Consider the following 27256-nt stretch of genomic DNA (forward strand, 5'->3'; position numbering starts at 1 on the left):
ATATTTTTAGTAGAGATGGAGTTTCACCATGTTGGCCAGGCTGGTCTCAAACTCCTGACCTCAGGTGATCCGCCCGCCTCAGCCTTCCAAAGTGCTGGGATTACAGGTGTGAGCCACTGTGCCTGGCCTGTTTCCTCTATTTTCTAGAATAGTTTGTGAAGGATCATCGTTATGTCTTCTTCAGGTTGTTTCATGGAATTTACCAGTAAAGCCATCTGGTTGTAGACTTGTCTTTGTGGGAAGATTTTTAGTTGGTAATTAAATGTCTCTGTTATAGTCAGTTCACATAGTCATTTACTTTTTGAGTCATTTTGGTAATTTCTTTCTAAAAGCTGTCTGTTTCATCTAAATTGTCTCATTTGTTGGCATAAAGTTCATGGCATATTCCCTTTTAATTCTTGTGATTTTTGTAAAGTTGGTAGGAATATCCCTTCTTTCATGCCTGATTTTGGTAAATGTTGTTTTCTCTCTTTTTTTTCAGTCATTCTAACTAAAAGTTTGTCAATTCATCGATCATTTCAAAGAACCAACTTTGTGTTTATGTGAACTTGTCTATTTTTGTTTTCTTTTTCATTGATTTCTACTCTATTATTATTATTGCTTCTTATTACTTTGGGTTTAATTTGCCCTTCCTTATCTAGTTAAGAGTGACTCTTAGGTTATATTGATTTGATGTCTTTTTTCTTTTCTTCTTTTAGACAGAGTCTCGCTCTGTCACCCAGGCTGGAGTGCAGTGGTAGAACCTCCACCTCCCAGGCTCAAGCGATTCTCAGGCCTCAGCCTCCTGAGCAGCCTAGCATATATGTTGAGATTGCAAAAGATGAAGAAATTATATTGAGTATCAGGGAAATGTTAATATTATTCTGCTTTATTTATTTAGCGGAAGATCCATCCAAAAGCTATGTGAAATTACGAGACTTTGTGCTTGTGAAGCTTTGTCAAGATTTGCCCTGTTTTTCCCGGGAAAAATTAATGCAAGGATTCAATGAAGATATGGTGATAGAGGCACAACAGAAGTTCAAAATAAATAAGGTATTTTTATTCTGTAGGAGGAAAACAGATTTAAATTACAAACAAATTTTTGAAGTGTATACCTTAACTAAAATATTATAAAGACATTAAGAATACATGTGTGGGAACTAGCAATGGTTAACAGTACAGCTTTGAAGCCAAATTGCCTGAGTTCAAATCTAGCTCCAACACTTGCTCTGTGATTTATGGCAATTTAATTTACCTCGTGCCTCAGTTTCCTCATTAATAAAATGGGAAGATAATAGGTGTTATTGCTATATTAAGCATAACAAGCAGAGGAAAGATGGATAATAGGATCTTATTTTTACTCTTTAAAGTAGTTGTACCCCTGGAGACATTATTGGTGGGAAGAATGGTTGAAGTAAAACACGTATTTCATTTTATATACTTTTATATATTTATTTAAATTTTAAAGTGGTAAATGTCTTAAGATAGGTACAGAAAAAATAAATATGGAAGTTCAGAGAAGAAAGTTTATTACATTTATGTAAGCAAGGAAATCAGTGGTTATTTCATAGAAAGGATGGCATTTGATATAAACCTTGAAGAATGAGTAGGATTTGGATTATGAAAGTATGTGAGATGGGCTGGGAGTGGTGGCTCACGCCTGTAATCCCAGCACTTTGGGAGGCCGAGGCGGACAGATCATGAGGTCAGGACATTGACACCATCCTGGCTAACATGGTGAAACCCCACCTCTACTAAAAATACAAAAAAGCTGGTCATGGTGGCATGCGCCTGTAGTCCCAGCTACTCGGTAGGCTGAGGCAGGAGAATTGCTTGAACCTGGGGAGGCGGAGGTTGCAGTGAGCTGAGATGGTGCCACTGCACTCCAGCCTGGGCGACCGAGCGAGACTCCATCTCAAAAAAAAAAGAAATTTGTGTAGGCCGGGCGAGGTGGCTCACGCCTGTAATCCCAGCACTTTGGGTGGATCACGAGGTCAGGAGTTCGAGACCAGCCTGTCCAATATGGTGAAACCATGTCTCTACTACAAATACGAAAATTAGCTGGGCGTGGTGGCGCGTGCCTGTAATCCCAGCTACTCAGGAGGCTGAGGCAGAAGAATCGCTTAAACCTGGGAGGCGGAGGTTGCAGTGAGCCGAGATCATGCCACTACACTCCAGCCTGGGCAACAGAGAGAGACTTCATCTTAAAAAAAAAAAAAAGAAAAGAAATTTGTTTAATAGCTCAGCTTTTAAAAGAACAGGCATATGAATATATATATATATATATATATATATATATATATTTTTTTTTTTTTTTTTTTTTTAATGGTGCTTTCTTAAAAAAAGAATTCAAACTCCCTACCTAGAGCACAAAGAGCCCATGATAATCTGGACCCTGCCTACCTTGCTAGCTTCAGCCTGTTAGTACTTTGCCACATGCTCTGGCTACTTTGCCACATGCTCTGGCTTTACTCATCTTCTAGCCATTTCCCAACTCTGCCACATCCTTCTTCCTTCTGTATTCCTTTACATATTCTGTTCTCTTTACCTGAAATACTCCCTTTTCCTAATTGCCTGGCCAGATAGTACTCATTTTTTCAGGTTCAACTCAGGTTCCCTTCCAGGAAGTCAGAAAATATTACCTTCCCAACCTATCCATACCCCAACTCCCTGCCCAAATAAATACATAAGTGAAACAACATCAACAGAAAAACTGTGGTTCTCCTTTGGCTTCAGTGCTACCAAAAACTTCCTGATTCTTCTGATATTTCCTTGATACCATTTGTCTTTTTTTTTCCTTTTCCTTTTTTTTTTTTTTTGAGACAGGGTCTCTTGCTCTGTCACCTGAGGTGGAGTACAGTGGTGTAATCACGGCTACGGCTCACTGCAGCCTCAACCTCCTGGGCTCAAATGACTCTCCCACCTCAGCCTCCCAAGTAGCTGGGACTGCAGGGGTACGCCACCACACCTGGCTAATTTTTGTAGAGACAGGGTTCCTACAGGCTGTTCTCAAACTGCTAGGCTCAAGCGATCTGCCCACCTTGGCCTCCCAAAGTGCTGGAACTACAGGCATGAGCCACCATGTCCAGCCCTGTCTGCTTTTTAACTGTCACTGTACTAGCAGGTTTCTGACCTTTCTCCTTTTATCACTGTATATGCTTTCCTCAGGTGACCTTAACCAGCCTTATGGTTTTAACTCTTACCTATATACTGACATTGCTTAAATCCTTGCCCTTAGACTAGAATTTTCTTCAGATTTTCTATTTTCTGCTGCCTCCCAAATCTCTCCTAGGCTGTGAAAACTCACATTTTCACATCCTTCTCTCAGTTTTTCCTCTCATATGTTTCTAGAGTCCTTGACCCCTTGGTCTTCTTGTGCTGTTCCAGTTCATGCCCTCATCGTTTTTTATGTGATGTAATAACTCAGCTTCTTGATTGGTCTCTATGCACTTCTTTTTGCTACCATTTCTTTGTAGCTGAAAGAGTGACTTATTTAAAACTCAAAATTTGTGCATATTGCTTACATTCCTATTTAAAATCTGTCATGAAGGCTGGGGCAGTGGCTTACGCCAGTAACTCTAATACTTTGGGAGGTTGAGGCAGGAGGATTGCTTGAAGCTGGGAGTTGAAGATCAGCCTGGGCAACAAAGTGAGATCCCATTTCTACAAAAAAAAAAAAAAAAAAAAATAGCCGAGTGTGGTGCATATGCCTATGGTCCCAGCTGCTCAGGAGGCTGAGGTGGGAGGATGGCTTGAGTCTAGGAGGTTGAGGCTGCAGTGAACTATGATCGTGCCACATTAAATTATCCATACCATAATCATTTGTGTTACCCACTAGACTGCTTGAGGGCAACTACTTTTATTGCCTTTCCTCTGGTTTCTAGCACAATTCCTTGCTCATGGCAGATATTAAATATATCCTGTGTTCTTTTGGGAAAGTGTCATTATTTTTACTTTGAAAATGTTCGCATTTTCTTTTGTTTCATTCTAGCAACACGCTAGAAGGGTTTATGAAATTCTTCGACTACTGGTAACTGACATGAGTGATGCCGAACAATACAGAAGCTACAGACTGGATATTAAAAGAAGACTAATTAGCCCATATAAGGTAGGACTTTCAAGAATCTTAAACACTGTATTCTTTTCACTGTTTAAAACAGAAGAAAAGCTACCAAATATCAGTATATGAGAGAGTCCAAGTCATTTTGTAAAATTAACTTTTACAAAAGTAGAAATATTCTTCCAGTAATTTATAAAAATTCTCACTCATGGCCGGGCGTGGTGGCCCACACCTGTAATCCCAGCACTCAGGGAGGCCAAGGCGGGTGGATCACCTCAGGTCAGAAGTTCAAGACCAGCCTGGCCAACGTGGTGAAACCCTGTCTCTACTAAAAATACAAACATTAGCTAGGCTTGGTGGTGGGCGCCTGTAATACAGTGACTTGGGAGGCTGAAGCAGGAGAATCGCTTGAATCCAGGAGGTGGAGGTTGCTGTGAGCCAAGATTGCACCATTGCACTCCAGCCTGGGTGACAAGAGCAAAACTCCATCTGAAAAGAAAAGAAAAGAAAAGAAAAAAAACCCGGGTGCAGTGGCTCACGCCTGTAATCCCAGCACTGTGGGAGGCCGAGGTAGGTGGATCACTTGAGGTCAGGAGTTCAAGACCACCCTGGCCAACATGGCGAAACCCCATCTCTACTAAAAATACAAAAATTAGCTGGGCATGATAACACGTGCCTGTAATCCCAGCTGTTTGAGAGGCTGAGGCACGAGAATCACTTGAACCCAAGAGGTGGAGGTTGCAGTGAGCTGAGATTGTGCCACTGCACTTCAGCCTGGGTGACAGAATGAAATTGTGTCTCAGAACAAACAAACAAACTTATCCCAAGGATAGTCTACCATGGTTAGCTTTTCTTTCATTTGTATGCATCTTTAAAAAATCTGAATGCCTAGTCTCTTCCCTAACAAATTATGTTGTTTTTCCCAAGTTTCTTGTCTTCTCAGTTGTTATATATATATATTCTCTTTTTTCTCTCTTCCCAGATAAAAGCAAAGTTATACATATATATTCTCTTTGCTTTTGCTTTCTTCTTCCTAAAAATAGCCTTTATTGCTATTTATTAATATAATCTTTGTACTTTACCATAGCCGAAACCATGTTAGTACTATTATATTTTTAAACATTCTTCTTGCCCTTTTTTCCCACTTCGTCGTCATCTTCCATATTTTCCCTCCTAGATCAAATTGGCCTTATCATTTGGACATTGTCAGGATGGATATTGTTTATGCCACCTTATGTGAATGAAAATTTGCTATCTAGGCAAGGCGTGGTGGCTCATGCCTGTAATCCCAGCACTTTGGGAGGCCGAGGTGGGCAGGTCACCAGAGCTCAGGAGTTCAAGACCAGCCTGGCCAACATGGCAAAACCTCGCCTCTACTAAAAATACAAAAATTAGTTGGGTGTGGTGGTGGGTACCTGTAATCCCAGCTACTTGGGAGGCTGAGGCAAGGGCATCACTTGAACTCGGGAGGCAGAGGTTGCAGTGAGCTGAGATCATACCACTGCAATCCAGGCTGGGCAATGGAGCAAGACTCCATCTCAAAAAAAAAAAAAAAATTTAAAAAAAAAAAAAGGCCAGGTGCGGTGGTTCACGTCTATAATCCCAGCAATTTGGGAGGCTGAGGCGGGCAGATCATCTGAGGTCAGGAGTTCGAGACCAGCCTGGCCAACATGGTGAAACCCTGTGTCTACTAAAAATACACAAATTAGCCAGGCATGGTGGGAGGTGCCTGTAATCCCAGCTTCTCCGGAGGCTGAGGCAGGAGAATTGCTTGAACCTGGGAGGCAGAGGTTGCAGTGAGCCAAGATTGCGCCATTGTACTCCAGCCTGGGTGACGAGCAAAATTCCATCTCAAAAAAGAAGAAAATTTGTCATCTAGTTGCAGCTGAGTAGTGGGATGATTGGCAGAATATTTAATTTATTCAACATATAATTATTGAGTACAGTTGCTCAATGATAAAATGTTGTTGCTGCATTTATATATACTATACCTATAGGGTTATACATCACAATAGCTGGGAACATAAGTGACCAAGTTGATTCTACATTACAATTTGAGAAAGTAAATTAACTAACTGTATCAGGTACACATAGTTTTGGTTTTCCTTTGTAAATTTAAAGAAAATTTAAGTTTTATTTGCCATGGATTCTGCTTTATAGAGCCAGTCTTGAATGCTGATGGTTCATTGGCTGACACTACTTGCTGAATCCCAACTTTTCCTTCATAGCATCTTTTTACTTTGCAGTGCAACTGTATTTCCTAATTTGTCATTGTAATTCTGTTCACATTCTGAATATAAAATTATTATTTGCCTATGACTAAATCATTTTATCTTGAATTCATACACAGATGTATGAATAGTTCCTCATAGTGTCATTTCATTGCAGTTTAATAGTTTTTCTATTTTACAGACCATCATCTGCATATAGCAGGTTTGTAATAAATTATAATGGTCTCCTCAAAAGTTATCCAAAGTAGCATTTTATTATTTGATGTTATCAATTCAGAAACATCAGAAAATGGGTAAAAATGGTATTTTCCAAAGGTTTTGACCTTTAAGTAATATTTGTTAGCTAGAAAATGTCTTAATGATGAAATTTGGGCACAGAGAGCAGTATAGATGGCAACATTTAAGAGTTATTAAGATTTTACTAAAGTAAAATAATTTATTGAATTATATATTTTAGATATTAATGTGACTTTTATATAAAATATAACAAATGAAAGATGGAAATTCTGAGTACAAATAGTAGTCACACAGCTAATGCCAAATAATGGGAACCTCTGTAGTTCATAAGTGCAAGTATTTTCTACTCTTAAAGAATGATAATTCTTTTTTATATTATTATTAAGTACCTTTACCTGTCCAGCCAGTTCACCAGTCTAAAAGGCCAGAACTGGGCCGGGTGTGGTGGCTCATGGCTGTAATCCCAGCAGTTTGGGAGGCCAAGGTGGGTGGATCACTTGGGCCCAGGAGTTCTAGAACAGTATATCCGAAACATGAAAGCTTCATATTTGCAATAATGCCACCCAACCAGGAATCCTGGAGTTATTCTTCATTCTTCCTTCCTCATATCACCCAGTATTTTCTCCCCTAAATCTGCCCTGTCCTCTCCATCTCTGCTGCTGCTGACTTGATCTAGGCTTTCATCAACTCTGGCTTGAACTACTGCAGTAGCTGCCCAGTCCTCCAGTCCCATCCTAAACATCTCTGACACAGTGTCCTGCATAAAAGTTGTTATCAGCTACCTGTTGCAAACTCCTTAGCATAGCGGTATCCTAAGTCAAACCAGGAGGGTTTAGTATGATAATGTATGTCTGGAACTTAATAAAGACTCAAATGCTATTTAATATATTTTTAAAGTATAGCAGTTTTCCATTTGTCTTTCTGAAACATTTCTAACAGTTTATGTTAAAATTAGCATGTGGCCCGTAAGTACTTCACTGGGTGGAATTTAAAATGTAATTAATTAATGACTGAATAGTAAAATGAAGAATAATAGCACTTAATCTCAGTTGTCTTTCTTCAGCTAATGTCTTCTATCTATTAAGCAAATATTTGAGTGTCTATACTGCCCAGAGTTCTTTAAAGTTTTGGAGGGGGCTGCTAGTCACATGTCTGTATTTACCATCATTGGACACAAATACCAGGTCTTCTTGTTAACTCTTTTTAGAGGGTTTGCAATTCATGGTTAACATTATGTTTAAGCTTCCTTAAAAAACAAAACAAAACAAAAAAAAAACATTGTGGGACAAGTTTGGGCGTATTCATACTATTCTTATTTTTAACATTGGAGACTTAAAATTGTAAGACTATAAGGAAATATATTTACTTTCTTCGTCTAACAAATAATTGTTTGTCACTTAGAAAAAGCAGAGAGATCTTGCTAAGATGAGAAAATGTCTCAGACCAGAAGAACTGACAAACCAGATGAACCAAATAGAAATAAGCATGCAACATGAACAGCTGGAAGAGAGTTTTCAGGAACTAGTGGAAGATTACCGGCGTGTTATTGAACGACTTGCTCAAGAGTAAAGATTATACTGCTCTGTACAGGAAGCTTGCAAATTTTCTGTACAATGTGCTGTGAAAAATCTGATGACTTTAATTTTAAAATCTTGTGACATTTTGCTTATACTAAAAGTTATCTATCTTTAGTTGAATATTTTCTTTTGGAGAGATTGTATATTTTAAAATACTGTTTAGAGTTTATGAGCATATATTGCATTTAAAGAAAGATAAAGCTTCTGAAATACTACTGCAATTGCTTCCCTTCTTAAACAGTATAATAAATGCTTAGTTGTGATATGTTAATGTGTGATGATATGATTCTTAAATACTTACAATAAACCTCATTCTTAAATACTTATCATTCCTTCCACACTTTGCTTCTAAGATTTTACATCTGACACCTTTAAAACATTTCTTTAAGGTTATCCTGGTAATTTTATTTTTTCAATATGATTTTTCTTTCTTTTTTAACTTTTAGATTCAGGGGTACATGTGGAGGTTTGTTACATAGGTAAACTAGTGTCTTGGGGGTTTCTTGTACAGATTATTTCAACACCCAGATACTAGGCCTAGTATCCAATAGTTAATTTTTCTGCTATTCTCCCAACCTCCACCTTCAAGTAGGCCCCAGTATCTGTTGTTCCCTTCTTTGTGTCCATGTGTTCTCATCATTTACTCCCACTTGTTAAGTAAGAACATACAGTATTTGGTTTTCTGTGCCTGTGTTAGTTTGCTAAGGACAATGGCTTCCAGCTCCATCCATGTCCTGGCAAAATACATGATCTTGTTCTTTTTTATGACTGCATAGTATTCTGTGGTGTGTATATACCACATTTTCTTTATCCAGTCTGTCACTGATGGACATTTAGGTTGATTCCATGTCTTTGCTATTGTGAATAGTGCTGCAGTGAATGTTTGCATGCGTGTGTCTTTATGGTAGAATGATTGATATTCCTCTGAGTATATACCTAGTAATGGAATTGCTGGGTCAAATGGTAGTTCTGTTTTTAGCTCTTTGAGGAATTGCCACACTGCTTTCCACAGTGGTTGGACTAATTTATACTTCCACCAACGGTTTATAAGTGTTCCCTTTTCTCCACTACCTTGCCGGCATCTGTTATTTTTTGACTTTAATAACAGCCATTCTGACTGGTGTAAGATGGTACCTCATTGTGGTTTTGATTTACATTTCTCTAATGATCAGTGGTATTGGGCTTTTACTCATATGCTTATTGGCTACACGTATGTCTTCTTTGAAAAGTGTCTGTTCACGTCTCTTTTTAATGGGGTTGTTTGGTTTTTTCCTTGTAGTTTAAGTTCTTACTGATTTTTCATAATAGGAAATGTTCTTAGTATAGGTTTTATTTTGTTTTAAATAAAATCCTATTAACTCTATTAACTGTTTGGGAAGGCAGGTACGAGGGAAATCAAACTAGATACAGCCTAAAAGCCAAAATTTTGGCATCAAATATTATTTGAAGATAACTTAGAAGTTAGCATAAACATTCTATAAATAAAAATAGAAGATAGAAATCAGTGTATAAAATACAATTTACACACCATTATTAAAATATATCTTGTGTAAAGTGAGACGCCCATCTGTTCGGATTTGCTGTAAGGTTACCAAGGTATTGAAATACAGCAAGAAAAAATAATGACAAACTGCTTAATATAGTCTTGTTTTTAATGAAGTAGAGTATAAATAGATTGCTGGAAACAGAATCATTCAAAGTAAAAGTTTGAGATGTTTATAATGTATGCTAGTAAACAAGGTATTATATAACAAAAACAGGATGTAAGTTGAAATTTACTTTTAAAAATCTGATTTGATGGATGCTTGGGGCAGAATCCCAAGTTGGACAGGCATTATCTCGTCCTTTGATCAATTTCCATCCGTAAAATCTGTCAGAGAAGTAACTGGTAGCCTCTGGACACAAAATAGCTGTGGCCAGCAGCATACCAACAGCACTACTGTTCCCTTAAAATGAGGGAGCTATAAAAGTTTCAAACCATCTCATCTCAGAAGCCTGTATATAGATAAAACTTGTTGACTTCTGAGAGATTATATCTGTGTACATAATTTGCTACAGATAAAATGAACTAGTTCAGTTAAAATCCTTTCTGAAATGATATGAAAGCAATTTGTCTTTCATCTAAATTGGCTAATTTTTAATTTTTTTATTGACAGTTCACAGCTGATACTTAAAGATGAGCTCTGAAGAAAGCATCAATACCATCTAAACCAATTATCTTTCAAGATTTTTTTTTTGTATAAAAACCAGAAAGAAAATGTGATGCTGATTTTCCTATTGTTTGTTTGTTTTGAGACGAAGTCTCTGCTGCCTAGGTTGGAATGCAGCTCACTGCAACCTCTGCCTCCCGAGTTCAAGTAATTCTCCTGCCTCAGCCTCCCAAGTAGCTGGGATTACAGCCCTGAGCCACCATGCCCAGCTAATTTTTGTATTTTTAGTAGAGACAGAGTTTCACCATGTTGGCCAGGCTGGTCTTGAACTTCTGACCTCAAATGATCTGCCCTCGGCCTCCCAAAGTGCTGGGATTACAGGCGTTGAGCCACTGTGCCCGGCCTCTTACTTTTTCCCTGTCCTCTATAAATTGCGTTTTCTCTACATATATTTCCTTCTGAGCATCAGGTTTTTCATCTGTGAAACTGAGGTTGTACTAGAATGATCTCTAGGCTCACTCCCTCCCTGTTCTAGGTTCTGTGTTTGTCGTTTTCATATCCTTTCTCCTTACCCTTATACTTTTATACTCAGATGTGGGTGTAGATGTGGTATATGTCTAAAATAAAACACTTTTCTAAGTCACACAAGGATATTCATAGTTTATACGTGACATAGTTTGTGTGAGAAGGGAGGGAAAAAGGACTGTGTCCCTGATTGTCTCCAAATTGCTGGGGCCCCAGTTTGTTGTACCAGAGCCTTGTCTAGGCTGAAAATCTATCAGACCTTCTGATTAACTGCCATCTTTACCTACTAGAGAAGAGCTGGCAGCAAAGCTACTAAGGCCATATTTGATAACAAGATTAGAATCATACACCTGAGAGGTCAACTGATTTAATTCCTTAAATTCTTAAGTTCTTTTTCTTAGAATTTAAAAGCCAGTTTAACTATTAAATACTGATTTAATAAAGTACTCAATACTTCCAAATAAAATTATTTTTGCATTTGTATATCTCTGTGTATATACTTGGAACATAGTAGTATATCTTTGTGCATGTATATATTTGTATCTGTGAAATCATTTCCTGGGAAATGTAGTTAACTGAGTTAAAGGATAAGAATATGTCTATGGCTCTATTACATAAACATGCCATATTTTGCAGAATCGTTAAAATACTACCCGATGTGAATGTATATACCAATTTTAACAGAATTTCAATGACGTGGGATGTTGTTTCCATAGATAAAATATCTTATTTACATTTATTTTACTGGGAAGGTTGAATTGTGTGTGCGTGTGTAAAATCTTTTCCTTGATATGAATTACCTGTTTTTTTAAAAAATGTATGTTTTGCAGTCTACACTGTCAATTTATAAATGGACAGTAAATCCAGAGGCCACACTACAAGTAACTGGCAAAGCCAGGAATATACACTAGGCTCCTGACTTCTACTCCATCTCATCTTCCATCAAGTAGGCCAGCCAAGTAAGCATGCCAGCCCACTAGGCTGTTCTAAGAGGGACTTTTAGAGGAGCAAGTATTAAGAAAAGTATTCTCGGCCATGCACGGTGGCTAATGCCTGTAATCCCAACACTTTAGGAGGCCAAGGTGGGGGACTGCTTGAGGCCAGTAGTTCAAGACCAGCCTGGGCAACATGGCAAGCCCCCGTCTACAAAAAAATTTAAAAATTAGGCTTGGTGGCCAACATAGCGAAACCCCGTCTCTACTAAAAATAAAAATAATTAGCTGGGCATGGTGGCAGGCGCCTATAATCCCAACTACTTGGGAAGCTGAGGGAGGAGAATCGCTTGAACCTGGGAGGCAGAGGTTGCAGTGAGCCGAGATTGCACCAGTGCACTCCAGCCCAGGGAACAGTGTGAGACTCCATCTCAAAACAAAACGAAAAGAAAAATTAGGCTTGGTAGTGCACACCTGTGGTGGTGCAAGCCAGGCTACTTGGGAGGCTGAGGCGGGAGGATCGCTTGAGTTTAGGAGTTCAAGGTTGCAGTTAGCTATGTTCACACCACCGTACTCCAGCCTGGGTGACAAAGCCAGACCCTGTCCTCTAAAAAAAAAAAAAAGAAAAAAAAAAAGCTGGACTTGGTGTCACATGCCTGTAGTCCCAGCTACTTAGGAGGCTGAGGCAGGAGGATAGCTTGAGCCCAGGAGTTCAAGACTAGCCTAAGCAACGTAGAGAGACCCCCATCTCTAAAAATAAGAAAAAAGTAAAAAAAACACAAAAAACCTTAAGAGTCTGTTTGATAGCAATGACTGAAATTATCAATGCCTCTTGAAATATGGCCTGAAGTTACTCTTCCTCTCAACATTTAATCTTCAACTTTTCTGTGTTCCCATATGCCTTTACATTTCTATTATAAATATTTCATTCTTGTTTTATGAGGTGTGGTGGAATTATACAGTGCATTTAGTTTACTCACTGAGTTGGGCAGAGCTGTGTTTACGTATATGTGATATTTCAATAGGAAGTATGCACACGGAAATAAAAAGCAACAGGGCATGCAGTGAAAATTTCCTCACTGCATTCCTCCAGAAACAACCAGTTATCAATATCTTGTGTATCTTTCAGAGATACATGCAAAAGGGAGCATGTATGTATATATATTTTTTATATACCATATGTATATGTGATGACCTACCACGTTTTCTAACTGCTTTTTTACTTTTGGGGATTATTTGAGCTATCTTGTTTAATGGCAGCATGGTATTCCATTGTGTGGATATATCATACATTACTCTACCAGTAACATATTTATGTTGTTTCCAATATTTTCCTTTACAAACAATGCTGCAATGCCTATTGTATATGTGCTATGCATACATATACAAGTATACCAATAGATGAAAGTCCTAGAAGTCATGGACATTAGTCTAACCTCACTCTTACAGTGACTCTACTACCTTTACAACAGTTAAAATTATCACCATAAACTAAGGTTGTGGGAACTTTATAATGTCCCAATTTGAATAAACTCTATGCAAACAGGAGCATATTGGACTTATCCAACCATCTCTTTCATGGCTAGAAATTTGAATTACCTTTTTTTTTGTTGTTAGAGACAGGGTCTCACTCTGTCATCCAGGCTGGAGTGCAGTGGCATGATCTCGGCTCATTGCATCCTCAGCCCCTCCAAGTAGCTGGGACCACAGGCAAGTGCCACCAGACCTGGCTAATTTTTATATATTTTTGTTGTTGTTGGTAGAGACAGGGTTTCACCATGTTGCCCAGGCTGGTCTCAAACTCCTGAGCTCAAGCGATCCACCCACCTCAGCCTCCCAAAATGGGATTACAGGCGTGAGCCACTGTGCCTGGCCTTATCTTAAATGCACAATGATTTGAATGGTTAGGCATATGCACCTTTCTGTTTATTCCTTTAGTCTTGCTTAGCTCTTCTCAAACCTTTGCATCCTTAAGAATCACTGTATTTCCGGGTGTCTCAGCTTCAGTCCTACTGACATTTTGGGCCAGATAATTTTTTCTTGTGTGGGGCCGACCTATATATTGTGGGATGTTTAACAGCATCCCTGGCTTCTACCCACTAAGATGCCAGTAGTGCCACCCCCACCACTAGTTGTGACAACCAAATATGTCTCTAGATATGTCCTGTGGGGAGCAAAATCATCCTTCATTGAGAATCATTGTTCTATGGGATTGAATATCCATCTACTTTAAGCACTATTTTTTTAAAATTATGTAACATATACTTAGTAAAAAAAAAATCAATGCAGTCATGGGCTTTCTAAGTAAAAATTAAAAATTTAAAATCTATGAAAGTATTTGATGAGAAATAAACTGCCCTCCCACACCGCCACCCAATTCACTTCTTTACAATTACTTTTACCAGTTTCTCTTTTATCCCCCAGATTTATCAGTCTACAAATGTCCATTTCTATTACAAACACAAATATTGATATACTACATGCAGTACTCTGAGTATCTTTTCCAGTTAATGCATATCTCTACCAGTACATGTTACTTCAGTTCTAAACACCTTAATTCTAAACAACTGTATAATATTCCATAGCTCGATGTCAATGTTTGACCCAATACTGTATTAAAGGACATTTAGGTTGCTTCCTATCTTCTACTACAAGCAATGCTGCAGCAAATAGCCTTTTGTATACACCATTTTGTATATTTGGGAGTGTGTATGTAGGATAAGTAGTGATTGAATCGCTGAGTGAAAAGGTATGGACATTGTACATTTTGGTAGATTTTGCACATATTTGAGACAGAAGGAAATTTTTTTTTTTTTTTTTGAGACGGAGTCTTGCTCTGTCGCCCAGGCTGGAGTACAGTTGCACGATCTCGGCTCACTGCAAGCTCCGCCTCCTGGGTTCACGCCATTCTCCTGCCTCAGCCTCCCGAGTAGCTGGGACTACAGGTGCCCGCCACCATGCCCGGCTAATTTTTTGTATTTTTAGTAGAGACGGGGTTTCACCATGTTAGCCAGGATGGTCTCGATCTCCTGACTTCGTGATCCACCTGCCTTGGCCTCCCAAAGTGCTGGGATTACAGGCGTGAGCCACAGTGCCTGGCCAACGAAGGAAAATTTGAATATGGACACAATTGGTAAGGAATTTTGTTAATTTTCATAGTCGTGATAATGGTACTGTTATTATGTAGGACAATGTCTTTATTCCTGAGAGTCACATGCCTTAGCATTTAGGAGCAAAGAGTCATGACATTTGTAGCTTACATTCAAATGGTCCAGAAAAATATGTTTGTGTATTGGGGCATGTATGTGTGTGTGTGTGTGTGTGTGTGTGTGTGTATAAAGCAAATGTGACAAAGTTTGTAAAAGTGTTGAATATAGGTGGAATTAAATACAGGTGTTCTCAGTATGGTTCTTTCAGCCTGTATGACTGATTGATTGATTGACTGGCAAGGTCCTGGTCTGTCACCCAGGCTGGATTGCAGAGGTGCAATCTTGGCTCACTGCAACCTCCACCTCCTGGGCTCAAACAATCCTCCCACCTCAGCCTCCCAAATACCTGGGACCATAGGTGCACACTACAATGCCCAGCTAATTTTATATATACATATTTTTTGGGGGGTGGCAGAGGTATAAATGGAGTTTCGCCATGTTGCCTAGGCTAGTCTCGAACTCCTGGGTTCAAGCGATCAGCCTGCCTCGGCCTCCCAAAGTACTGGAATTACAGGTGTCAGCCATTCTGCCCGACCTGCTCTATCTTTTTAAGTGTTTAAAATAAAAACTGGGTAAGAAAAGACATATCATATATGAAAGAACAGTATGAAAAAGGAAAAAATCAGCGAGTAGGAAAGAGCTCTGAGAAATTAAAAATGATTGCTCTAACTCAAGCGGCAGAAAGACTGAGCTATAAAGTTGAGGGAATTTCCCAGAACATCAAAAAGAGAGACCGAAGATATGAGAAAAAAAGATAAAACAGAGGATCAGTGTGGGAAATTCAATAACCAATAATTTTCGTTTCGGAGAGGAAGAGCAAACAGAACATAACCAAAGGAAGAGGATAATGCCTCAAAGTTGAAGAAATGAATCTTCAGACTATAAGAGCTCCCTGAAGTTTGAGCAGCGTTACTAACATTTACTGAGCACTTTCTATTGTTGGCTAAGCACTTGCATGAGTTATCTCAATTCTCATTAACAACCCTCTGAGGTACTTGGTATCCTCAAGTGAGGCCTAGGAAGGTTATCTTCACCAAGGTCACACAGCTAGTAAGTGGCAGAGCTGGAAATTTGGCCCATGCAATATGACTCACTTAGATTCTCAACCACTGTACCGCTACCACTTACCTAAAAAGATCGACTCACAGGCCAAATTATTAAGTTACTTACCTAAAAAGATCGACTCACAGGCCAAATTATTAAGTTCAGAATCCACAGCATAAAATTAAGATCCTGAATGCTTTCACAGGGGAAAACACAGACAACCTGGGAGAGGAAGGGGGATTCAGCATTAGAGTTTATCAGCCATACTGCATGTTGAAAGATAATGGAACAATATCTTCAAAGCTCTGATGCTGAATTGTTTTGTTTGTTTGTTTGTTTTTGACATGGAGTCTTGCTCTGTCACCCAGGCTGGAGTACAGTGGCGCAATCTCAGCTCACTACAACCTCCGCCTCCTCGGGTACAAGCGGTTCTCCTGTCTCAGCCTCCTGAGTAGCTGGGACTACAAGCGCACGCCACCATGCCTGGCTAATTTTTGTATTTTCAGTGGAGATAGGATTTTGCCATGTTGGCCAGGCTGGTCTTGAACTCCTGACCTCAGGTGATCCGCCCGCCTCAGCCTCCCAAAGTGCTGGGATTACAGGCATAAGCCACTGCACCCGACCTATTGCTTTTCATTGTAAACCTTTTTATAATTGTATGGTTATTTTTTCACTATATATGTCTTTGATATAAAAATCTGTTTAATATTACTACAGGTATATTGTTCTGCCACTGAAGCTCCATATTACTGTCAAATAAAATAAAACTGTAAATCCAGGAAATTTTTTAAATAAAAGTTTACCTAAAGCAACCAAGTGGCACCCTTAACAAATGAAATCGTGCTCTGCCTGACTTCGACCAGGCAGAATTCACCAAAAGATACTGAAGAGCTTTCTTTGGAAAAAAAAAAAAAAAGCAATACTCAATTCTTTTCTTAGGAAACTGATTATCAAAGGAATCATAATTTACCATGTACTTACCTGGTAAAAGACGAATCTGGAAAAAATTTGTTATCAAAGCAAATTGTCTCCATCTTTGATACACTGGTTTTATGAGTCAGTAGACACTGGATGTACAACCAAAGCTCTGAAAAACATACTTCATAATTTTTTGGGCATCCCATTAACCCAGTGGAGAAATATAATGCAATAAAAGTATAATATCATCATTTATGAATATCTGCTGAGCTCTTGTGTGTAAGAAGCTGCAAGGAGTGCTGTACTAATGTAAAAAAAATGTTTTTAAAAACCTCCAGTGTTAAAATATATACAGGCTTGAAATGGAATAAATCTTCTATAACCTCCCTGGGTCTCACTGTCTTTATGTTAAAATTAGAAGGGGTAGGGTTAGAGTTGTATTAGGTGATCTTGAAGCCATTTCTAGTTCTTCAACCATATTCTCGCTCCTCCATCTTAATAAAAGACTAGTTGGAAAATGTGCTTTAGACTCTCAGTTCACCTGGACAGCTCGTTACATGTTTAATTAATAATTTTGGCAGGTGAATCTGTGCGGAAGTCTTGGGCTGGATGTGTGTGTTTGCCCGGCTCTCTGAATCCCCTTTTGTGAAGGCCGTGGTGCTACCACAGAGAGGCTTGTTTGCTGTCTGGTCCTAGAGCAGCTGCTGCTTTCTTCCTTTATCCTTTATCAAGCAAAAGAAAATGCAGTGATGTTTGTGTGTGCTTCAGATGAGGAGAATGCACTCCACACAGGTTATTCTCTGGGTTAAAGTGGATGGGGTGAGCACAGAGGAGCTCAGTTCAATGGGAAGAGAGGTCGTGGCAGCATCTGCCCTCTTGTTTGTTTCAACGGTTTCAGTCTTGAGTATAGAATGTGTTCAGTGAGAGGCAAGCAGAAGAAGTTAAAAAATGCACTACTGCTTAGTTTCTCAGCCATTTTGGGGAGTGGAGGTGGAGAGTGGGAGGGGAGAAAGGGACATACAGCTAGTTTTCTCTTTCTATTATTAAATCTCTTCTTATTTCATGATCTCCACTTCAGAGATTCTTATTGCAGTCTCTTTTGTGTAACTGCTAACTGACTAAGGAACACTATTTCATACTTATATGCAGGAAGTGGCAAAATTACAAACATTTTCAACCTCTGATATTAATGATCAAACTGCTTTCCACAGGCACTGGCCTCACACAGTCCTACAGGACCAAATATTTTAAACCAAAACCACTAAGAACGTAACAGCAAACATAGAACCATAAATATAGCAAAAGAGTAAACAAAGATGGAAAAATATGGGAAGATAACCAATATCATCACTTCATGAGGGAAAGGGAAAAAAGCCACAAGAAAATAAGTAATTTTACAAGAGAGAGAAAAATAAAAGAAAGAAGAGAAACAGATGCAGAGTGAAGGCAAAAGGAAGAGAGAGAATGCACAGTAGACTGCAATAAAGACATGAATAATATTGTGTGTTCCCATGCTTTTGCATGTGACTTGCCTAGTCTGCTGTCTTTTATTCTATATACCTGTGTGACTGGTCGTGATAAAAATGGGTATCTTCCCTTTGAAAGTCCAGCAAATAGTGCCGGGCACAGTGGCTCATGCCTATAATCCCAGCACTTTGGAAGGCTAAGGTGGCAGGATCACTTGAGCCCAGGAGTTTGAGACTAGCCTAGGCAACATAGTGAGACCCAGTCTCTACAAAATATAGAAAAATTAGCCATGTGTAGTGGTGTGTGCCTGTAGTTCCAGCTACTCAGAAGGCTGAGGCAGGAGGATCACTTGACCCCAGGAGGTTGAGACTGCAGTAAGCCATGATTGTGCCACCACACTCCAGTGTGGGTGACAGATAAGACCCTGTCTCAAAAAATAAAAAAAAAGGCCAGCAAATGAGTATAGGCATAGAAAAAAAGTCCAGATGAATGAATATACATCAATTTGTTAACAGTAATTACCTGAATGTGAGGGACTTCTATTTTCTATATTACACATTTCTCTCTTTTTTTTTTTTTTGGAATGTTTTTCAAAGAGCACATATTTGAAGGAAGGAGATTAAATAGGTATAATTTCCTGGGAACTTAGATAATTAGAGTTCACCATTTTCCTCAGTTCCTGGCAGCCAGGGATGGCTACAATCTGTGACCCCTGGCATTGCTCCATGGGGCTTATAGTCAAGAGGGTACAATTTGGTCTTGTTTTATGGACAATCTTGTGAGCATGTTAGTCTCTTCCAATTTGTTTCTTAAGAACAAATTGGAAAGCTGAGACTAATTCAAGGCCAGGGAAGCCTTGTCCCTCAAGCCTGCACAGTTCGTTTCCAATTTGTTTCTTGAGAATAAAGACAGTATCATATCTCCTTGGAGCTTAGAGTAGCACTTACATATTTATTGATTGGTTGATTGCTAGATTCGCTTGGGAATTTGTTGCCTTTTCCCCCTATTCTGAATGGAATCTTCATTCTCTGGAAGTGTATAAGCAGGAACTACCTTTCCAGGCATTGGCAGTTTGGGAATGGATGGCAGCCTCTTATGGTTCACACTTTCATTTAGATTCCATGAGGCAATTGCACACTTCTGCTTTAACCCAACACTCAGAGTCAGTCCCAAGACATCAGGTCAGGGAAGCCTTGTCCCTCAAGCCTGCACAGTTCCCAAGCCAACTCTGACCGAAGCAGGCAGTATTATCAGAAAGCTTTAATGCACCAGTGAAAAGGGTCTGGGACCATCTCCATGCTCTTCCCTATAGCCGTCCCTTCCCTTCCCTCGCTCCCTCAGCTCCTGCCACGATTCTAGATGGGCTACTGCTCCAACAATGGATATGTTACTATGTTGGAGTGTTACTGCTGTTTTTACATCTCCTATAACATCTTTTAAGCCAAAGCGTTGGACAAACTTGAAACGAATGCTAGCCAGACTGGGCCTGATATCAACAACTTCCTTGGGGCAATGTTTTGGTCTTACCCTACAGTTAAGTTAGCCCTGTCTGGTCCCATTCTACTCCCCTTCCCTTGACAGACTGCTCAGGAGGTTGCAGCATGCTATTTGCTGAGCCCATTTGGATTATGCCTATAAATGGCTCTAGATCCCTGAAATCCTCAGAATTTCAGTATGGAAGAGGCTCAGGTAGGGCAATCCCATTAGGAAGGGGTGGGGCTTAAAGTATCATTTGCATAGGAATTATATGACTGGGAAAATGTCATTAGACTAATAAAAAATGAGAGTGGCAGGAGGATCACATGCAACTAACATCCTCCTTCTCTTGTCCTGGCTCCCTCTTGGCACTGCTAAAGATCAAGGAACAGGGCACAAACAGCAAAGATAAATCCACTTGATTTTCCACAACTGTCTCACATATGGCATTACTTTTCCTCGCAAAACATGGAATATTTACACATTTTCTCTAACAGTACCTTTAGATTACTCAGTAACATATTCATGATTGTCTCAAATGATTGGTATAGGAAACATGACATTCTGCCAGCAAGTTAGTTGAGAGTGCCCTAGAAACTGTCTGCCTGAACCTATAATCATTCAAACATAGACGCTAACTTTAGAGGGGCCCAATCAGCTACTAAGACAGATCTTTGTTGTACATGCGGCTTATGTTTATGCAGAACTCCTAGTTCCTGAAAAGAATGTTCATTTGACTTAAAATATGTAAACAAGTAGCATACCAACATATTAAAATTAGAGAAACTAGAGGCCAAGATCGGAGATTCTTCTCCAACCACAGAGTTGCTAAGAAATGATCGTGAAATCAAATCAAAAGGCTAACTTTACGGATTCAGATGGCAAAACAAAGAGGCAGGGTCAGGAAGGGAGAATGAGGCCCCTGGGTCTAGATGACAACTGCGCTGAAGCTGTGTGGTCCCGGGGTACCAGTTTCCCCCAGCAGCCACATTATATCAGTTAATCTTACAACGTATTCACATAAAACAGCTTTTTATTAGAGATATGTAAGCACCTTGGCCCCTATTTCATGGTTTGTGCTCTTTCTTTTCTTTCCTTCCTTCCTTCTTTCTTTCCTTCCTTCTTTCCTTCCCTTCCTTCCTTCTTTCCTTCTTTCCTTCTTTCCTTCCTTCCTTCCTTGCTTCCTTCCTTCCTTCCTCCCTCCCTCCCTCTCTCTCTCTTTCTTTCTTTCTTTTGACAGAGTCTCCCTCTGTCGCTCAGGATGGACTGCAGTGACACCATCCTGGCCCACTGCAACCTCCGCCTCCAGGGTTTAAGCTATTCTCCTTGCCTCAGTCTCCCGAATAGCTAGGATTACAAGTGCCCGCCCCATACCCGGCTAATTTTTGCATCTTTTAGTAGAGATGGGGTTTCGCCATGTTGGCCAGGCTGATCTTGAACTCCTGACCTCAGGTGATCTGCCCGCCTCGGCCTCTCAAAATGCTGGGATTACAGGCATAAGCCACCACACCCAGCCTGTGTTTTCAAATATCTTATAGTAATCCTAATATATATATATATAAATCTAAACTTGTGAGACAAATTACAAGATGATGTTATTTACTATAAGACAAACATTTTTAAAAAATTATTTACTTCATGTCACATAATCCCTTAGAGCATTTAAAAATGCAAATATTCAATTAAAAATTCAATACATACATTACAGAACCTGCATAATTTAACTTTTATTACAAACTACAAATTTAGACACACTCATGGTATAAGTCTATAATATTAAGTTCAAGAAGGAGGAAGGAAAAATGGGTTTTTCAAAAATATGCATATTGGAATTTATTTGATTTATATCTTTTATAAATAAAAAGATTTTAAAAGATGTGAATAAGACATGATCTTTTGAAAATCAAGGTAAAGACCTATAAAATAATAATCACAATCAAAATATTTTAACATTCAAGAATGAATTTTTGGACATAAACTGAAGGTATTAAGTTATCCTTTATTTCTTGAACCCTGGTTTTCAAAAGTTATTCAACTTTTTTTTTTTGAGACAGAGTCTTGCTCTGTTGCCCAGGCTACAGTGCAGTGGCACAATCACAGCTCACTGCAGCCTCAAACTCCGGGGCTCAAGCGCTCCTCCTGCCTCAGCCTCCCAAGTAGCTGGGACTATATGCATGTGCCACCACATCTAGCTAGTTTGTAAATTTTTTGTAGACACGGGGTCTCACTATGTTGCCCAGCTGGGTCTCCAACTCCTGGGCTCAAGCAATCCTCCTGCCTTGGCTTCCCAAAGTGTTGGAATTACAGGTGTGAGCCACTGCACCCGGCCGAATTATTCAATTTTTTATTCAAGAATCCTAAGTACAAAATCTGACTAATGGTAAGAATTCAAATCAGTGAAGTGCCATAATATAATTAACCTTCATTTCACAGATAGGAGCACGGACAGAAATGGAGTAGAGAAGTGACTCAGTAGCGGTTACTCATCTAAATAAAAGCACTCTAATGCTCAAGATCACAGAATGTTAAAATTGCAAGGGATCCTAGATATCAGTGATCTAGCCCTTTATCTTGTTGGTCACTATGTATATATCCCTTTTTTTTTTTTTTTTGAGAGAATCTTCCTCTGTGGCACAGGCTGGAGTGCAGTGGCAGGATCTCGGCTCACTGTAAACTCTGCCTCCCAGGTTCAAGTGATTCTCCCGCCTTAGCCTCTGAGTAGCTGGGATTGCAGGCATGCACCACCATGCCTGGCTAATTTTTGTATTTTTAGTAGAGACAGGTTTCACCATGTTGCCCAAGCTGGTCTCGAATTCCTGACCTCAAGTGATCTGCCTGCGTTCGCCTCCCAAAGTGCTGGGATTACAGGCATGAGCCACCACACCCAGCTTATATCCCATAAGTTGATGGTTTTGGCGGACATGTGCTGGCAGCTTTTAACCCTTCTGCGGTGAGAAGGATGTGTATGAGAGAAGCCAGATCCAGGGTCAGTGGATGAGCTATCACCTGTGCAAGTTCATATTTGCTTCATTTCTAGCTCATCCCAGATATCTACATTCCATGCCGAACTTATTGAGGATTTCCTCACTGGATTCCACTACTGCTGGTGCCACCTGGGTCCTCATAGTGTTTCCTTTTCCTTTTAGTTGTAGGGGAATAAAGCATTCATTTATTTTCCAAGGGTTGGCTGAGTTAAGTCACATGAACATGTGTTCTATTTCAGATGGGTTTGAAACTAGGCTTGATGCCTTAAGGAATAGGGATGTCTAGATTTCTTTTTTCTGTACACTGCTTAAGACTCTGTGGCCAGCTAACTCTCAGGCTCCTTTGCTGCACTCAGATTGCTGGCCTCAGTTACACAGAGGACAGATTTGCCACATTCAAAAATGCTCTCCCTGGAATTGAAATGAGTTTGCAAAAGGTAGGAGTACATTTTATTCTCATTCTTGTGCATCTTATTTACCCTGATGGAAAGCATTACTTCTCTTTATCTTTCAAGGTGACCCAAAAGCATCCAAAACCAGGTTTTCCAGAATTATAGCATGTGTCCTCTAATGAAATGCCAACATTCACTCTCTTTAAAAGTAAAAATATCAAGATTATATAGTCATTAAAAAGAATAAGTCTGAACTAAGTGTTCTAAGATTTGATGCCTATGATGACTGGAATGGAAAAAGCAAGTCATATGATTCTATTTAAAATACTTACATTTGCCTGTGTGTAAAAGGCAAAGATCTCAATTGAGCACACGGTGGTTAACTGGGGAGTGGGACTATGGTATGTACAGAGGGCGAGGAAGGGGCTTGCACTTGTTCCTTATTTCTGAATTGTTCTGAATTGTCTAGATTATTCACTGAGTGTGTAGTGCTTAAAAATTAATTAGAAGACATCACACACATTCACTGAGAATCCTAATCAATCTTCACTGCATTTAAAGTCTGGAAACGGTTACATTCTCAGTTTGACTGGTTTCATGCAGTGTTCAATTGCTTCACCTGACATTCCTCGGGTATCGGGTTCTGTGCCGGGCACGGAGGCTACTAAGATGAATAACACCTGGTCCATGACAGGATGGCATCTACCCCAGAACACAGGTAAGAGAGACAGTGAATTTGGTAAAAATGGGCACCGTCATCAGTAGGCATACATCAGCTCCCTCATCTGATTCACAATTGGCCTTCTGTAGGCTTCTTCTCTTGGCAATGCAATTGGCAGGCGTCATCCTTTTATACTTAAACTCCAAATTTAGGATTAAGACTCCAGTTAATACTGCCAAGCAGAAGGCGTCCTTGGAGAAAGAGAAGTCTCCTGAACATACCCACTGGGGTACCTAGAATAGATTTTGCAGCGACACACAGATCCTGTGTTGTCTGGAGTCTCTGCTGAGTAATGTAGATTCTGGGACAGCAAAAGGGGAGCTGGTGACTTTGAACCAAATTTTACCTTTCAACTGAATCCAGGGGAATAATTTGCAACAGAGTGGCAGACGATACAAAGTGCTATGTTGAACACTAGATTGTGCTTTATTTTTTCCGCCCAACTTCACGTTTCCATGCACCAAAATGTTGATGCTATAAATATTGGATGCCACGCTTACCTGACAGGCTTCTTCCATCCCACCTGGGCGCGGGGGCTCAGAGCGAGCGCGCGAGCCGCGGCTGGAGCCCGCCTCTCGCGGCTGGAGAGGACTCAGCCGGCCGCGGGTTCTGCTGCTTGCCCGGGTGCCCTAGCCGCTTCCCAGCCAGGGCTCCCGCAGTCAGCCCCGCGCGCGCACGCGCGCTCCCCTCGGGCGGCCTCGACGCCTCAGGGCTTCGGCAGGGCTGCGACTGGCCGGCTCCAGCGGGCGGGGCGGCGAGCGAGTGCTCGCGGCCACGTGACCGACGCCAACATGGCGGCGCCCAGTGGCGTCCACCTGCTCGTCCGCAGAGGTAAGCGCGTGGAGGAGAGCCCCGTGAGGGTTCGCACGGTTGCTCACTAGGTACGCACCCGGGTCCAAAGGGATGCGCACCCGCGCTCAGACTTCTCGGCGCACACGACTGTACTTTCAGTGTTTACGAACACACGCAGGCACACACGATGACACATTCACACACCACAGGATCACACATACAAATTTGTTCACTGATCACCCGCCTAGAACACGTCACCACGTGGCATCTTTTCGCAATTACTCCTTGAGATTTGCGGGCCATTGTCTGAAGTTTTTTTCCCCAACTTCGGTTGTATCATTAGTGTAACCAACATTTATTCTGTATGCCGAGCAAGGAAACCTATGGTAATTCTGAAATGCATCTGGACACCCGGTTCCCTTCCCTAGAGCTTTTATGCAGGCATGCTTTTTGGGGACTTGCAAAATGTGATGGTTTTCTTCCAGTGACTTAAAGTTAAGAAGATAAGAAAGGATGTCTGGGTAGTTCTAAGTAGGTTTTATCCTGCGTGAGTGTTGAGATTTTAGTAAATATACAAATGCCTTTGCAGCAGAATTGGGGAAATCTTTGTTGGATTTGAACTAGGTGCTGAATCTTTGTTGGAAAGAACTAGAAAGTTTTTCCAAGGACGGGGGAAGAGGAAAACTATCATATTTTGAGGAGCTACTTAAGCGTCAGGCATGTAGGAACAGTTTTGTGAGGTAAATATTATTTTCATAGTAACAGCTACTGTTTATTAAGTGCCTTTTAAGTACACGATACTGTGTTAAGCGCCTTACATATGCTTGCTTCCTTTTAAAACTCAATGAATGAGACCCCGTCTCTACAAAAAATTTTAAAAATTAGTCGGGCGTGGTGACACATGCCTGTAGTCTCAGCTATTCTGGGGGTTGAGGTGGTAGGATCGCTTGAGCCTGGGAGGTCAAGAGGCTGCAGTGAGCCGTGATCGTACCACTGAACTCCAGACTTGGCAATAGAGCCAGACCCTGTCTCAAAAACAAAAACAAAAACCCAGTGAGTTAGGAATTATTTTCTCTTTGCAGAAGGGAAAAGTAAGGCTAGAGAGGTTAAGTAACATTACTAAGGTCGCATAAATGGTAAGAGGCAGATTGCTCATTTGAACATGACTCTAATTTTTTTTTTTAAGACTCATTTCTCGGTACTGCATGACGTGGTCACTCCATAGAAGTCAGTGTGTAAAGTTCAGCAGAGACAGTGCAGGATGAGTGTGTACAAAAAGTGAAGAGAGCCTGGGCACGGTGGCTCACACCTGTAAACCCAGCACTTTGGGAGGCCGAGGCAGGTGGCTCACTTGAGGTCAGAAGTTCAAGACCAGCCTGGCCAACATGGTGAAACCCCGTCTCTACTAATATACACAATTAGCTGGGCGTGGTGGCGCATGCCTGTAATCCCAGCTACTCGGGAGACTGAGGTAGGAAAATTGCTTTAACCCAGGAGGTGGAGGTTGCAGTGAGCTGAGATCATACCACTACACTCTAGCCTGGGCGACAGAGCGAGACTCCGTCTCAGAAAAAAAAAATAAATAAAAATAATAAAAAATAAGAAGTGAAGAGGAAGATATTTTTAGAGAGGAAGAAGGTTGGTAATCGAATAGACTTCAGTATTTCAGTGTTAGTGGAGATGAGAAAGGGGCCACAGGAAGATTTGAGGGGAGAGATGTGTATGGGGAAGGTGATGTAGCGAGCATTTTGGACTGGTTGCATGAAGGAATGGACATCAGCATGAGAGTGTAGCCTTGTGAAAAGACAGCCAATTTACATCTCTCAAGATCTGGGTGCCAGGCCTGGCAAGGTGGCTAATGCCTGTAATATTACCCAGCACTTTGGGAGGCCAAGGCGGGCAGATCACTTGAGGCCAGGAGTTCAAGACCAGCCTGGCCAACATGGTGAAACCTGTCTCTACTAAAAATACAAAAATTAGCCAGGTGTGGTGGCACATGCTGGTAATCCCAGCTACTTGGGAGGTGGAGGTGGGAGGGATCGCCTGAACCCAGGAGGCGGAGGTTGTAGTGAGCTGAAAAAAAAAAAAAAAAGATCTGGGTTCCAGTCCAAACTTTCTTTACTAATTACTTTTCTGTTTCCTCTTTTCACAAGAAATCATGGCTTTTAGACTTCATTTTTGTATGCTTCAGGTAATGGTGAGAAGGATCTGAGGAGATAGTCAATGTAGAGGAGGAGCCAAAAAAAAAACAACCTGAAAACATACATAGGTGTATGTATGTATATATATATACACCTATGCATGTATAAACGTATTTTTATATGTGTGTATATATGTATTAGGTTGGTACAAAAGTAATTGCAGTTTTAGAATCAATGACAAAAACTGTGATTACTTTGCACCAACTGTATATATAACATCTCTTTGCAGATAACAGAAATAGCATTAATCTTTTCTTTCTTTTTGATCACTTATTATTTTGACAAATGGTGGTTTAGACAGTCTTGAGAAAATATATTATATGGAAGTCAGGCCAAGTTATTGGTTCCTATAATCCATCCC

At 40.3% G+C, this 27256-nt stretch overlaps 2 protein-coding genes and 1 long non-coding RNA gene across 11 annotated transcripts in view, besides 1 other annotated feature; 2 read left to right on the forward strand and 1 right to left on the reverse strand.

The window, feature by feature from the left end:
* HAT1 (histone acetyltransferase 1) overlaps window positions 1-8410 on the forward strand; it is a 61226-nt gene extending 52816 nt beyond the window's left edge. For all 3 annotated transcript variants that reach the window (NR_027862.2, XM_006712808.4, NM_003642.4), the window contains 3 exons: window positions 881-1032; window positions 3971-4087; window positions 7909-8410. Coding sequence is in view for 2 of the 3 variants with exons in the window: in XM_006712808.4 (XP_006712871.1) it covers window positions 881-1032; window positions 3971-4087; window positions 7909-8076 (437 nt within the window). In the remaining variant the exon portion in view is untranslated. The remainder of the gene's footprint in view (window positions 1-880; window positions 1033-3970; window positions 4088-7908) is intronic.
* Window positions 1416-24633, reverse strand: LOC124905590 (uncharacterized). Its single transcript, XR_007087296.1, has 3 exons — window positions 24403-24633; window positions 16071-16166; window positions 1416-2182 (listed from the first exon to the last, which is right to left on the reverse strand). It is a non-coding gene; the product is annotated as an uncharacterized LOC124905590 (long non-coding RNA).
* Window positions 24372-24671: a silencer, noted in NCBI's record as "silent region_12106". NCBI's record gives its function as "represses an Ori minimal core promoter by ATAC-STARR-seq in GM12878 lymphoblastoid cells {active_cell/tissue: GM12878}" and the evidence as "EXISTENCE:reporter gene assay evidence [ECO:0000049][PMID:35858748]".
* The window catches only part of METAP1D (methionyl aminopeptidase type 1D, mitochondrial), an 82478-nt gene continuing 79898 nt past the window's right edge, over window positions 24677-27256 (forward strand). For 6 of the 7 annotated variants that reach the window (NR_136273.2, NR_136276.2, XM_047443870.1 and 3 more), the window contains exon 1: window positions 24677-24733. Coding sequence is in view for 2 of the 7 variants with exons in the window: in NM_199227.3 (NP_954697.1) it covers window positions 24694-24733 (40 nt within the window). In the remaining 5 variants the exon portion in view is untranslated. Of the gene's footprint in view, window positions 24784-27256 lie in introns of all 7 variants that reach the window. The other variant, NM_001322279.2, reaches the window with a different exon arrangement.

The sequence above is a fragment of the Homo sapiens genome, chromosome 2 (assembly GCF_000001405.40).
Source record: "Homo sapiens chromosome 2, GRCh38.p14 Primary Assembly".
Lineage (NCBI taxonomy): Eukaryota > Metazoa > Chordata > Mammalia > Primates > Hominidae > Homo > Homo sapiens.